The 15,153-nt window shown below is 39.5% G+C and overlaps 1 long non-coding RNA gene across 2 annotated transcripts in view; it reads right to left on the reverse strand.

Annotated features, from left to right (window-relative positions):
- The window catches only part of LOC105372668 (uncharacterized), a 54,483-nt gene that overhangs the window by 11,290 nt on the left and 28,040 nt on the right, over positions 1-15,153 (reverse strand). Inside the window, exon 1 of one of the 2 annotated variants that reach the window (XR_936865.3) lies at positions 1,833-3,604. The exons of the other annotated variant lie outside the window; for it this stretch is intronic. This is a non-coding gene — a long non-coding RNA (uncharacterized LOC105372668). Of the gene's footprint in view, positions 1-1,832; positions 3,605-15,153 lie in introns of those variants that run through there. 2 annotated transcript variants of the gene reach the window in all.

Below are 15,153 nucleotides of genomic sequence, written 5' to 3' on the forward strand. Positions count from 1 at the left end.
CTTCGTAATTTTGTTCAAGAACGTTTCTGGCCATCTTAACCCCATGCTTTGTTATTAAAAACTTCACACCAGGGAAAAGTGGACTTTAAGAATGCACAGGTACTGTTGGCTCTTCGTGTGTGATGGGGAGGGATACGTAATCAGTATTTCTGAACCCCCAAAATATAAGGCAATTCTTAAAGTTGCCTTGTGAAAATCCTTCACTATGTACTTACTACATGCATCAGGGTGAGAAGCCAGGGCACTGGTCATTAACGGGGGTGATTTTGCTCCTTCACCCCCAGGGAATATTTGGCAGTGTCTGAAGACATTTGTGGTTGTCATAACTGTGTGGAGGTTGCTGCTGGAATCCAGAGCCTGGAGGCCAGGCATGCTGTTAACTATCTTGCAATGCTCAGGATGGCCCCATCACAAAGAATGATTTAGCCCAAAATGTAACATTGCTGAGGGTGAGAAACACTGGTTTAGGGCATTCAGAAATCTCCCAACTCACTCGAAGAGACCAACAGAGCCTATTTTGCAGGAATGTTTCTGAAGGGAGTCCACAGTAGGCATTTTCTGCTGGTGTAGATTTGGCTTCTTCTAATCTTCGGTATTAACAGTCTCCAAAAAGGCAGGAACCATGGGACAGACACATTAGAAAAAGGCTGGGGGCGGAGAGTGCTTTGTAAATATTAACCCAGCTGTGGAGGCCACATGTATCTTTGAGTTATGACCTGATAAGGCTTTTGAGAGCTTTTGCCAACTTCATGTTCAAGAAAAACACAGAAAAAATTTAGCTGATGATATCCTTGATGCAATTTTCCTTTAAGCACAGCCTCATAAATACCAACTATAGAGTCCAACTGAACTTATTGGAAATTTCCCAAAAACCTTGGAAAATAGACAAGTGCAGGTGGTAAGATATTTACTGAAATGAACTGTCTGTGAATGAAAAATATATGAGCAAAATAGATATTTTATCTGTCATTTTATTCACAGAAAGAGATCCTTTAAGTTTCTCCATTTCATTCTGCTCCTGTTTGGTGAAAGCACTTTAAACTAGATCTTCATTTTCCTTTTAAAAAATCAGTATGGAAAATAGGGGACTTGACACCCCCTCCCCCTCCACTCTGCTGCCACGAAAACGAAAAAAGAAAAGTAAATTTTTTTAAAGCCTCGGAAGAAACTTCTGAAAATACACAACATGACTTGTTACTGAATCTCAATCTTATAGGTAGAATGGAAAAAAACAGGGAAACTGATGCTTAAATAGAATTTTAAAGTCGTTTTGACCCTGTCCAGGCAAGTAGAGTTGGTCACTGAAAATCCATATTCTTAATAAGCCAGAAAAAGCCCTGCAATGAATTAGTATTAAATAATAATCTATAAATATTACGGAGAAACTTTTATCTGCAATGTGCTCTGCCTAAGCTAAAAGAGATTTCTTAAAATGAGTATATCATGGTCTCTGACCTCAAAGAACTTCACTCTATTTTTGAAGAAGGAGCATTTACACATAGATAGTGAAATTACAATATTATTAATTAAATGTTCTATCTCAGTGCAATTAAATTACCTTTTTCAGCAAAAGAAATGAATTGCTTAAAATACACATACACAACTTTCAGAGTAAAACAGTTAAAGCCTTCCCACTCAATGTTTGATTTTGAGATCTTGCACAGGCAAGTTTGGGGTTAGGAGCATTGCTGAGTGACCAAGAAAATACATAAAACTCTACTCATTGAGTGGTAGATGTCAATTTCCCTGAGGCTGGCATCCACTTTTCAGCTGCTGCATGCTTCTGAACTGCTCCACATTCAGCCATTCATAAATATTTGCTGGGTTCTTACCGTAAGGAAGGCACTGTCCTAGAAGCCGGAAGTTTTCTAGAGCTGGCTTGCACCATCTTGCAAGGGTGAATTTCTGCATCTCTTTCCAAGCCTGCATTTTGTGACATCATATTCGTGGCTTGAAATTGGGCATAGTTGGAGTCTTTACACCATGGAAACCAGTCATGGCTTTTTTTCTCTCTTTTCTAGAGAGTTGGTTGCTAAATGTACCAGCACACCACTGGGTACACTGAAAACTAAACAAAGTCCCTGTTCCTATGAAACGTACATTGCAAAGGGTCATACGGATAAACAAATAAATATATTATAAACTATCAGGAAATGCTAAGTGCTGTGAATAAAGATAAAACAGACTAAAGGACTAGGAAGTGGTGTGAGGTGGAGGCCTCTATTTTGTGGTTGGTGAAGGCCTCTCAGAGAAGGAGCCATTCGAGCCAAGAGGTGAAACGGGTGAGGACCTGAAATATGTTCTGTAGATGTGTATGTTTCCCAGGTCCTTCGCTGACATCAAGGTGGAATCATGATTGAAGAATAATCCAGTGAGGCCACCTGAATCAAGAAGTAGCACATGTATTTTGCAATTACTAACCAACTTAGTAAACTAACTTTGCTATCAGTCACCTGCTGCTGTTGGGTGAAGGTCTAGTCAGGAAAAATGATATCAGCCTTGGCGAGGGAAACAACTTAACTGAGGCTGATCAAGACCCAGTCTGTGAGGGCCTTATAAAAACATAAATACAAAGGGGTTCTCCATTCCTTCCCTTCTCCATCATCCTGGCAGCCTCCAATTCCCTTTTCTCTCTTGGGTGGAGCATAGATTGCCTCCTTTTTGACTTTGGTCATGGCCTATCTGCAAAGCCTCCTGAGGCCCACCTTTGACGGCTGGTCCTTAAAATATATATTTTTTCCCCATTAGAGATAGTTCTTTCTCTTAAAGTCAAGTTTTACAGATGAGGAAACTGAATGATGAAGCTGTCAAGCAAATTATCCAAGCTTCCAGCTCATAAGCGGAAGAACTGGGACACGAACTCAGATGTGCCTAATAACAAGTCAGTAAATTTAGTATCTGCACTTTCACTTGATTGACTCAGTAGCTGGATTTCTGAAAAGCAGCAGGTTTTTCAAAAACCATTTTGCAAATGTTTACATCAAAGTGCTTTTTAAAGAAATAATTTTAACGCAAATGTGAGAGAAATCCTTTCTTGCCCCATAAATTGTTTTAAAACTTCTGATTCCAATGGACTTCCAAGGCCTCCCCCAGAGATTTTGACTAATTTTCCAGATACTAATATTTTGAGACCTTTTCTGTATTTTGAGATCCTGTTTCCTCAGCTGTTGCTTCTTCCCTGGATAAGATAAGTTTGTGGGAGTTGAGCTAAAGGTAGTCAAGAAAGGCTTATGAGAGAATGCATGATATGAACTGATTCATGGAAATAGTATGAATCCCAATAAAAATGGCTATTAGTTCAAAATGTTTCCTATGTAGCATGTGTAGAGGGAAAGCTATATAGACATTAGCTTAGTAAATACAACTCTGTGAGAAAAGTGTTCTAAATCCATTTCACAGTTGAGGACATTGATGTTTAGAAAAGTAGTGTGTCATCCATCAGGTCAAATATCTAGTATACAGTAGAGGTGGGATTCAAACCCAGATCTCTGTTCCCAAAGTGTGTGTTGTTTCCAAGCTGTGCACCAACACTTCTCACAAAAATAAGATTTTGAGCTTTGAATAGTCACGAGTTGACTTTGAATATTAACACTTCATTATTTTACCTTCCTCATTGTTTTTCTTCATAGTTTGAATGAAAGCTTTCAAGTTGGAATATACTGAGATATTTGACACTCGACCTTATTGTAACTTTCTATTTCAAACTGTGTGGCTTCTGACTATCCACCTGCATTGGCTAGATTAGGCTACTTCCAAATTTGGCAAAACATGCCTTGAGTCCTTGTGGTTTGCTACAACGATCCACGTCTATCTAGAACAAAGCAAGAGGCAACGTTACTAAGAGAGACATTGAGGCTGGTGGGAAGAACAGTGCTAACTTTAGAAGAAGCTTGATAAATACACATTACCTGTATTATAATAAAGTTCTTATTTCTCAATTTTGTTGATAAGAATCTTATAATCTTGGCCAGATGCGGTGGCTCATGCCTGTAATCCCAGCACTTTTGGAGGCTGAGGCAGGTGGATCACCTGAGGTCAGGAGTTTGAGACCAGCCTGGCCAATATGGTGAAACCTCGTCTCTACTAAAACTATATAAATTAGCCGGGCATGGTGGTGGGCACCTATAATTCCAGCTACTCGGGAGGCTGAAGCAGGAGAATTGCTTGAACCCAGGAGGCGGAGGTTGCAGTGAGGTGAAATCATGCCATTGCACTCCAGCCTGGGTGACAGAGTGAGACTTCTTCTCAAAAAAACAAAAAACAAACAAAAAAAATCTTTACAATGCTATGAGGACATCGAAAATTTAGAAACATAACAGCTTCTTACTCTACCAGGCTGGTCACTCTTACCAACAAGAGAATGGGTTAATTTGATACAATGTATTCTCCTTGACCCTATGTTGGTTTCCAATGGTCACTAATTTTTTTGTATAGTTGGTCAACATCATTGCCTATGTTTTCTGTAATATAATTGGGGATGTGATATGGTTTGGCTGTCCCCACCCAAATCTCATCTTGAAGACTAGCTCCCATAATTTCCACATGTTGTGAGAGGGACCCGGTGGGAGGTAATTGAATTATGGGAGTGGGTCTTTCCCATGCTGTTCTTGTGATAGTGAATAAGTCTCATGAGAGCTGATGGTTTATATAAAGGTGAGTTCCCTTACACACGCTCTCTTGCCTGTCACCATGTAAGATGTTCCTTTGCTCCTCCTTCATCTTCTGCCATGATTGTAAGACCTCCCTAGCCATGTGGAACTGTGAGTCCATTAAACCTTTTCTTTATAAATTACCCAGTCTCGGATATGTCTTTATTAGCAGCGTGAGAACAGACTAATTCAGGATGAAAGTTACAGTCACTACTATGTAGTCTCTAAAATGGCACTGTCCAATATGGTAGCCGCTAGCCACATGTGGCCATTTAAATTTAATGAAAATTAAATAAAATTTAAAAATTAGTACCTAGTCATACTGGCCACATTTCAAGTACTCATTATCCACATGTGGCCAGTGGCTATCAGATTGGACCACACAGACACAGTAACATCTCCACCTTTACAAAAAGTTCTATTGAACAGCACTATTCTACAGTGCAACTTTATTTTCAGTTTTTAAAAAACAATAATGTTTAACCAACCCTAAGCTTCTGACATCTTTAGCTTTCCCTAAAATTTCTCAAATACATATAGTGAGGGATGGAGGGAGGGACTACTGCACAGAAGTTAAGATTGTGGGCTTTGATGTCAGACCCGAGTTTAAGCACTGGCTGTGCTCTCTGTTTTCTGTTTGACCTTAGTTATATCTCTTAACCCATCTAAGTTCCACTGTGTGAAGCTTTAAGAGAGAGATAATAGTAGTACTTGCCACACGGGGCTGTTGTGAAGATTAAATGAGATATTGCACACAAAGAGTTCAGTCAGGGTCGAGTGCTCAATAACATATTGCTATTTTTGCTACTGTCAATCACTTTAAATTACCAGTGTGGCAAAAACGAGAATGCCCAGCCAATAGTCTGTAGCCTCCTCTCCTTTCCCAGTTTGTTTGCAGTAAGGCTGGTGATGTGACTAGGGCTCTTTGAGGGATGTAACATATGTCACTTCTGGACTGAGGAATGCAGAGCCCCATGTAATCGTCCACGTTTTCTCTGACAGCCAAGGATAAGGGCCAGGGGCTCAGCTGCTAGTCACAGGGATGGAGCAACTTGGATCACCCAGTCATAGCATGGGGTTGCTCTGCAGAGCTGTCTGACCTTCGGAGGACTTTGTGTGACCATAAACTTTATAAACAAAGTCACTGAGACTTGGAGATGGCCCATTATCTATATTGGAAGGATTGAATTCATTGGAGGCAATTAGGTTGTCTCTGATCGTAAGTTCATCTACCTAGACCTCCTCAGCTAAACCTATTGAGGCTGGATAATATTTGGTTATATTAATTGATGTGCGTTGTATTCTTGGACTTGCCTTTTCATCTTCATTCAAACTAAACCAGGAGTCCATTGTTCCTTAGAGAAGAGTCAAAATAGCAAAAATGTGGAGAATACGCATTTTTGTGTTTCAAAATTCTGGACACGTATTTGAAAACCTCAACAAGAGAGCATAAAGTTTATGTCATAACTGATTTATTGGGAATAACACATGAAGAGTTAGATTTTCTCATTGCCCAGCTTGTTTTAGATTCTCCAGACTTGTGATGTGGACCAGAAGGGAGCAGCAAAAGTATTGCTTAGGATCCCCCCAAAAGAGGTCTGAGCTCCAGTTCTGCTACCTGGAATCTGAATGACAATCAACAAGTTATGTAAGCTCCCTGGGTTTCAGGTTCCTTAGCTGTAAAACTGAGAATGAAAACATGTCAGGAAATTCTTAAGGTGCTAGATGATGATAGTGTAGACCAGCTCTGATAGATATAACTTTTGTTAATGGTAGAAATATTCTGTATCTTCACAGCCACTCACCATATGTGGCCATCGGGCACTTGAAATGTGGCTAGTGCAACTAAGGAATTGAATTTTTAATTTTAGTGAATTTTGACGTATTTAAATGGCCACGTGTAACTAGTGGCTAACATCTTGGACTGCACAGGTCTAGACTACATTCCTTCCCATCCCCATGAGTTTGCTCTACCAATGCCCCAGAACTTAGACACATAACTGTGAATTGACTGAAGAAGCATGAATTGACGAGAATTGTTTCTTCCAGCCAACAGCATAAAAACTTGCTATAAAAATTAATTTCTATTGGAAAATAACATTTCTTTCACACTTGGTTTGGGAATCCTCTCTAGTGCCTTAAAATAGAGACCTATTTTATTCTCAGAATGATCAAGAGCCCGAATGAATTAAACTGCTGGCTTTATTCCTCTGCATCCGGCTTCTATTGGTAACTTTCACACTAGCCAGGAAATCTGTTTGTAAGGCTGAGCGACTGGTTGTTAAAGAGGGGTCACGCCTCACGGTAACATGTGGCCCCACTAGCCCCTAAGCACTGGCATGTAGCCACTTGCTCACACCTACCACCAGACGCCCAAAGAAGCTCCAGCTCTTTGATTTAATTGTTATCCTCCTCTTTCTGCATTTTAATTTTTCTTACATTGACTCACTCCCTTAGACAGATCTGAGGCAAAGAGTATTTGTCCACCATGAGTCACTCTTACAGGAAAGGGAGAAGGATAAAGTAGCAAAGAGAGAGAAGGAGATGCACATGTGTTTATGTTTCTGAGTTCTCCATGGTTTGATTAAAATGGTTCATGGAACAGAAAGAAAACGTTGCTTTACTAGCTGTCATCGCTAAGTGCATCTTTCCATCTCTCTGTCTCTCCGTCTCTCTGTAACAGGGCACATTAAAGCAGGAGGGCTAAAGCCTCCTCCCTCCCAGGCCTGGAATTCCCTATGACCTGGGACTTGGCAAGCCCTTCCCTCTTTAATCAGTCACAGTGTTCCTGAGGCCCCTCCTCTTCCAGGAAGACCTCCCCAGGCAAAGAGGAAAAGCAACAGCAGCCAATTGCCCTTTGCAATCCACCAGCCACCCTGGCCCTCCCTCCCATCCCGTTAGTGTTTGTGGTAGATAATAGCAATTAATTCTCTTATCTACCAAATAAATTAGATCTTCGTATTTGTCTCCATCTTGAAAACTCCTAGAGAGAAGTATATTCGTAAACTCTGTCTGTGTAGCACTCCATTAGATAAGTGGATTGCATCCTCATTTTTCTTATCCCAACACTGCTGATGGATTATGTACATTTGCGATGACACACTCTGATTTTGATGCTCATTCCCCCAACACCCACAGAAAAAGATAATTTGCAGCTGAGTAAAGAAGGTAATTTTTAACACGGTATTTATAAAAGTGCATTATAACAAGTAAGGGTATAGCTCGGGTAAGGAAGACTCTGGGTTCTAGATCATTTCCCTGGGATAACTCTAACTCCTTGCCTTTTTCTACCACTGAAGAAAGTATATCAGTTTAATTGTATTATATGTAAATTTGCCTCAATAAAGCTGAAGAAAAGAAAAAGACAGAGCTAAAGATAAAGGAAGAGTGACAGTACCATAGACATAACCTTTAAACTCCTCACATCTCGAAAACTTGAAAACCATATACACATTTATTTAGTTCTTTAGTTGCATTAACACATGATTTGCAACAAATCTCATAACTGATTGTGATGTGGTAGAATGTCTCAGAAAAACAAAGAACCATAAATAAAGAAAGAAAATAAAGAACTGCTTTCCATGTGGTAAGGTCTTGAGGCCTGAGGTGGATTTTTATTACTTTTCCATCCCCCCGGCCTGGTAGGGTCCCTAGTACAACATAACTACTTAATAAATGTTTATTGAACTGATATGAATTCAACTGAAGTGTTCAACGCTATTCACAGACTATTATGTGAAACATGGTGTAGTTCATAGTTGCAAGAATGATGAGTACTGCTCTCATCCTGAAAATAAGGAAACAGAGGTGTAGAGAGAGATGAAGGCATTTGCCTTGTGTTTTAAAATTTGAATTTAGTGGACTTGGGATCAGTTTCAGCACTGAAACCCCCTAATCCACATATTCCCACTATGCCATGCTAGCTCAATGAGGGCTTTGCACAGAGTACTCATACAAGCATTTCTGAGGCTTTCTGGTCCCTGATGCCATTCAGGTCTTTGGATGTTTAAAGGAAGGAAAGATTGCAAGAAGGGTAATGATACCCTGCACATCTCCATTTGGAAGAGGCTCTTTATTGACACCTGTTTTCATCAAAATGGATTATGTATTTACCCAAGGGCTGCTGTCTTCTTTATAGACTGTTAGCCTCCAAAAATAAGTATATTGACCTCATAAAGTGCTTAATTTTACCTGAGTTACTTGCCCTTTTATTTCCAAGACTTCTTTTATATTTTAAATAACCACTTTGATGTGCTCAGTGCCCTGAATGAAAGTAGTTAATCAGGCAAACGAAGAAAGTAAAATGAGTTAAGGACCAGAAGTGACGATATCTGTGAAACTGGCTAATTTCACCACTATTGGTGGTAATTAAATGGGTGATATATTATGGCAGTGCAACTTGTGTACAGTATGCCTTTTAATCCCCTTCCCCTTCGAGTGTAAAGAGCTTTACTGAGGGAGTTGATTACAAAATCAATACATGCATATTATTTTTAAAAATATACAGAAGTGAATGAAGTAGAAAGATAACATCTTCACCCGTAAATTCCCTTCCTTAGCCTCTCTGGAAAAAATAACTTTGAGCAACTCATACATATCCTTCTCAGCCTTTTTATTAATGTGTACTATAAGGATATGGAAATAACATTTTAACAAGCCTACTCTTTTCATTTAAAATTTCTCTTGAGCATCTTAGATATACCTCCTATATAATATATACATATGCATTTATATGTACACAAGTGTGTATATATATGCATATGTGCTTATATGTGTGCACATATGCATATGTGTATATAAACACATACACAGACACCTACTCACACCGACACATATACTGCATATACATACAAGTATACACACATTCCCAATTGATGAGCATATAGATTTTTTTAAATTTTCTATGTTATAACCTTTGCTGCAAAATTCATCCTGTACTTATATCACTTTACAATTGTTTAATTATCCCCTCAGGAAAAGTTCCAGGGAGTAGAATTATAAAGTTTTATTTTAGTAATTTTAATATTTTAAAAATTAAATATCTACCTTTATGTGGCAGAGTAGCATGATAAACCATGAACCCTTGCTTAAAGCATTTAAATCTTAATAAACTTTGTGAAAAAAATCAGTTTCCAAATCAGAGATAACGTACAGAAAATGCCTAGCATAGTGCCTAGGATAGAGGAAGCCCTCAAAAAATGTTAGTTTTAAATACAAACAAACCATGTCAGAATGTGATGGGACCCCTTCTTCTCTTTACTGCAGATTGACTTTTGGGGAGGATTTACCCAGACAGTCTGGCTCAACAGAAGCCATGGGATAAACTGGATCCCATCGATCACAGCCCCACCCCTGTCCAGGAGCTGCCGCTGCCTCTGTGTACCCATCCCCACCCCCAAACAGACACATCCATCACGCGCCATGCAGAGTTTATCTTCAGTGCCAGGATGGCAGCAGCAACGGGCAGAATCTCTGGATGAGAAGCCCTGGGTTGTACATTTGTGTATGTGGGGAAGGACTAGAAGCTTGGAATACATTTGTCTTGATTTTCCCAGCAATCATCAGGCAAATACTCCAAATGCAGCATTTATGAAGTAAGGGCATCTCCCATGTGCCATCCAAGGCTGTTCTCAAGTGCTTTATACCCCATTATTTCGGAGGCAAGGAGTAGAGTCAACTCTTACCCCAGGCAAAATAGGAAGAAGTTTATCTCTATGAACCCTTCATCTCCTGCTTTGTTTTCCATCTTTGCTTCCAACGATACCACAGCACCTGCAGTCCAGACACCAGATCTTTGTCCTTTACTGACCCAAATATAACAGTCCTGTGTTCTGTTTGAATGGAGTTCTGGTGACTATCAGGTTAATCTGATAAAGTAACTCAGGATTGGGTCCCAAGAGCAGATAGCATTTGATGAGTTTCCCCTTCCCAGGTAAAAGGTACTTGCTCTCAATTTCTTAAAAGAGGAAATACCAGGCTCTGTAGCGGGGCTGGCTGAGGAGCAATATTTAGAAAAAGAGTACATTTTTTGATATCCTAAAATCATACACTCTATATGATGTCACAATCTGTCTCTGTGCCCAGTGGCCCTGGAAAGAGAGTGCTCTACATTCTCTGGGGGATTTAAATGTAAACTAAAAGGCCCCTGAATTGAAGCCTCTTGCTAATACTCCAGTTTCCTGTTATAATTTTAGACATAATTTATCCCAAACCTTACCTGGAGTCAAGATATGAAATTAATCTTAGTGACAAACTCAGGATAGACTCTCAGACAAGAATAAGGGTCTTGATGATTGCAATAATCTTTGACCATTCTTGTGTCTGTCCCCATTTCCCAGTTGGAGACCTCTCTAACAATATTATGTAGTGGAATAAGTAAAAGAATGGAAGTCAGAAAACTAGAAGGAGGTGCTACCTCTATCCCATTTTCATTGGTGGCTTTAAGCAAGTCATTCACATTTATTTGAGCCCCAGTTTCCTCTTTCTTACTCTTGTTTGGTCAATGGTATCTGGGAGTTGGTTCAAATGAGAGAATCAATCTGAAAGTAGCTTGGTTAATATAAATTGATTAAGAAGTGTTAGCTTATTCACAATAGTAAAGACATGGAATCAACTTAAATGCATCCATCAATGGCAGATTGGAAAAAGAAAATGTGGTACGTATACACCATGAAATACTATACAGCCATAAAAAAGAATGAGATAGTGTCTTTTGCAGGAACATGGATGGAGCTAGAGACCATTATCCTCAGAAAACTAACACGGGAATAGAAAACCAAATACCACATGTTCTCACTTCTAAGTGGGAGCTAAATTATGAGAACTCATGAACACAAAGAAGGAAATAACAGACACTGGAGTCTACTTGAGGTTGGAGGGTGACAGAAGGAAGAGGAGCAGAAAAGATAACTGTTGGGTATTGGGCTTAATATCTGGTGACGAAATAATCTGTACACCAAACCCCCATGATGCAATTTTATCTAAGTAATGAACCCTCACATGTACCCCGAACCTAAAATAAAAGTTTGTAAAAAAGAAGTCTTAGTTTTATCATTTTCATTATTGCTATTATTATTACATCTTTGGTGAAACAAACACAAAAACAAAACAGCAATCCATGCCAGCAAGATTCTTTGACCTATTTCAAGAAAACATTGGCAAATCAACATCTAGCACATAATACTGTGAGGAACCAGTGAGCTGCACAACGTAAGAACAAGTGAGGATGACGTGAAGGAATCTGGATGTTAGGGCAGGCCAGTTCTTTCCTGAGTCTTTAAAGAAACACTCATTGAAATCCTTAATATGTGCCAGGTGCTATAATGAATTATTTGCATGCATTACACCATTAAGCCCTCACATCAGCCTTATTAAGTAGATAAACACATTATCCCCATCTTACAGATGAGGACAGAGAGGTCCAGAGATGTGAAATAACTGGCCCCAGTTTCCTCAGCAACTAAAACTGTTGCAGAAATTCTACGGAGATGATGTGTGGCTCCTGCACAGCACTGGGCTTGCTGCGATGTTAGTACCATCACTTTTGCATGAGATCATGCAGAAGTGATGGTGGTGGAAGCCTCTGTGCTAGTCACTGGTACTGAGGCCACACGGGCTTTTGATCCTTTCAGGACGTTTCCAGGATAAGAGATCCGTGTCTCACCTCTGCAGCAACAGTTGGGAAGAATGCCTTCTTCTGAGTGAATGCATGAGCCTGTCTTACCTGTTTCTGCTTTCATTCCCAACTATGTCCTCAAGAGAGTTCACACAAGCCCCTCCCATCAGTCTTGTAGAATTGCAACTTTAAGCAGACCTGACACTATAGAAACAATAATTGGCAAGACATTCACAAGGAGCAAAAATGGTCATTTCCTCAGGCACCAAAAAAGTATAACCTAGTTCTGAGGTTCCAGAAAATGATGGCTGGAATGACCCTGAAGTCTGCACCACCATAACAAAAATGCAGCCTCATTGCTCTCCTTCTGATAGCTATAATCCTCCACATGAAAGCAGGCATAACTATTATTTTAGATGACATCCCCTTTTTAACTTTAAGCAGTGTTCTTTAAACATTTCTAAACTTTCCCAATTTCTCCCCAACACCATGCTATGAATTTGCTTGTCACTGTAAGCTGTACACAAAGAGAGACACATACAGCAAGCACAAAGATATCAGGAAGTGGTTTTCCTAGCAACAGTAATCATCTGAAAGATCCCAGAACACCCTTTCTATTCATACAGCAGTTCGTGTTTTGAATAGTGCTGACAGGTGAAGTGGATTCATGGTATTTAATACAAAAAATATTGCTGGGGATTGGTACTGCACAAAAGCTCAAATATCCATACTATTCACAAGCAGCTGAATTCACTGTTTTTATATCTATCGAGATTATTTAGTGAGGCACAATTGCAAAAGCAAATATTCACCTGCTCACCGAATGACTAATCCGGGGTGTATTATGGAAAGTCTGATTCCCTAGACCTCATTCAGGCAACTGGGACACAGTTCTAAATCAAGTCCAGCTCGCTCCATGCAAGACAGTCTTGTGGGTAGTTCTGAATGATAAAGAGACATCCCCCTCTCCAGTTCCCTCAGCAGATGTGTCCAGTTTAAAATAAAAATGAGTCAACGCTGTTGACAAAAATCACCCACCCCCAAGGAACTCCATCTAGTTATTGCTTTGACTCTATCAGAAACACTCCCAAATCACTCCTCCCATCCTCTCACCAGCCACGTACAAAGCAAAGTTATCCCTGAAGGTGAAACAAAAGAGAACAAAAAGTAAAACAGCAAAAAACTAGAGTTCTCTCAGAGAGACAGAGATTGAGAGAGAGAGAGAAAGAGAGAGAGGGAGAAAAAGGGAGGCAGGGAGTGGGAAAAGAAAAGAAAGAGAAAGAATGTCCCAAGATGCAAAGGAGACTGCAGGAGAATGCTTGGAGCATAATTCCGTAAAGAGAGAGTGTGTGTTTAAGTCACACAGCCTTACAATCCATGTGAAACTCCATAAGGTTTTTATTATTACCATTATTCTCTTTTTTAATTAAAAAACACATAATATGTACAAACCTACCACACATACAAACCTGTGCCTTGCACTGGGGGTAAGAGAGGTCTCATTCTTAGGTTTACAAGTTAGCTAATGAGATGGAATAATAAGGGAAAGTTGTAAGCAGCAATTGATGTCTGCAAATACTAAGTTTCACTCTTTAGCAATATATGGCTGCCTACATGTTGATACGGAGAGGGGGAGTGGCTGTAATACAGGGTAGTTAAGTGGAAGCATTTGAAGGTTTGAATTCTAGCTGTGTGGTTGAGAGCAAATTTGTGGAATATGGCAGTCATACTTACCTTACAAGACTGTTGGACAGATTGAACACGACAATGCCCTCAACACATCTAAAGCACTTAAGGGTAGCTACAATTCACAGAGGGTGCCAATCAAAGACATGCCACTTAAAATGACAATGGTCTACTATTTCACACCCCTAAAATTAACAAAATTTAGAAGTCTTATAATATCAAATATTGTCAGAGGACGTGGAAATCTGCATTGCTACCAGGAATGTAAAAGGTACAAGCATGTTAGAGATGTATCTGATGCCACTTAAGATGTGTGTACTCATTGCTGGAGCCAGAAGTTCCACTCTAGGGTGTATTCATTAGTAAGATTCTCATAAGTATAACCAAGGAGACCTCTGTGAAAATGAATGTGCTCTGCTTTTAATACTGAGAGATCAGAAAAACCTAAATGCTTATCCATAGGAAAATAGATAAGCAAATAGTGGTATATTCATACAGCAGTTAGAATGAGTGAACAAGGCTTGAATTTATCAATACAGCTAAATCTCCAAGACATAAAGTTGAGCACCCAAAGCACGTTGGGCAGATGGATATGAATGATGTGATGCCGTGCATAAAATGTTTAAAATGGACAAAACAAACCCCTACTTCGTAGTGTACATATAAAACATTTTGTGGTAATTTTTAAAAATAGATTATTAGCAGACTTAGCTAAAAGAATGGGGAACATAGACAGAGCCTGACCCATAGTCCATAAACTTGCTAGTACTGACAGTATACAAAACACTTTGGGATGGTTCATGAAAATTCTTGTTTTAATGACTATTAGAAAATATTTTTAATGTATAACGTAAAGAGGTTGTTTTAACAATAAAATCGTAAGTCATAAATTAAATAATTAATACTCAGATGTGGTAACAAAAGAGTGGTTTTCAATTGGGAAACCCTTCATTCAAAGCAACTGCTTTGATTCCATATGTATTCCAAAGAACTTCCCACTTCCTCCCACTCCACCTTCCAACAAGGTACATGTCAAATAAATACATAAACATATAGAAGAAACAAAAGTCACAGTCATCCATTGTCCATCCCTCTGGCAAAATCAACAAAGACAAGAGGTACAAGCGGTTAGAGGCTCCCATGATGTTTCTTATTCCAGGCACTCAGGCTGAGAGCCTCTTAGGGCTGCTGAATCTGTGCTCT

The sequence above is a fragment of the Homo sapiens genome, chromosome 20 (assembly GCF_000001405.40).
Source record: "Homo sapiens chromosome 20, GRCh38.p14 Primary Assembly".
Classification (NCBI taxonomy): domain Eukaryota; kingdom Metazoa; phylum Chordata; class Mammalia; order Primates; family Hominidae; genus Homo; species Homo sapiens.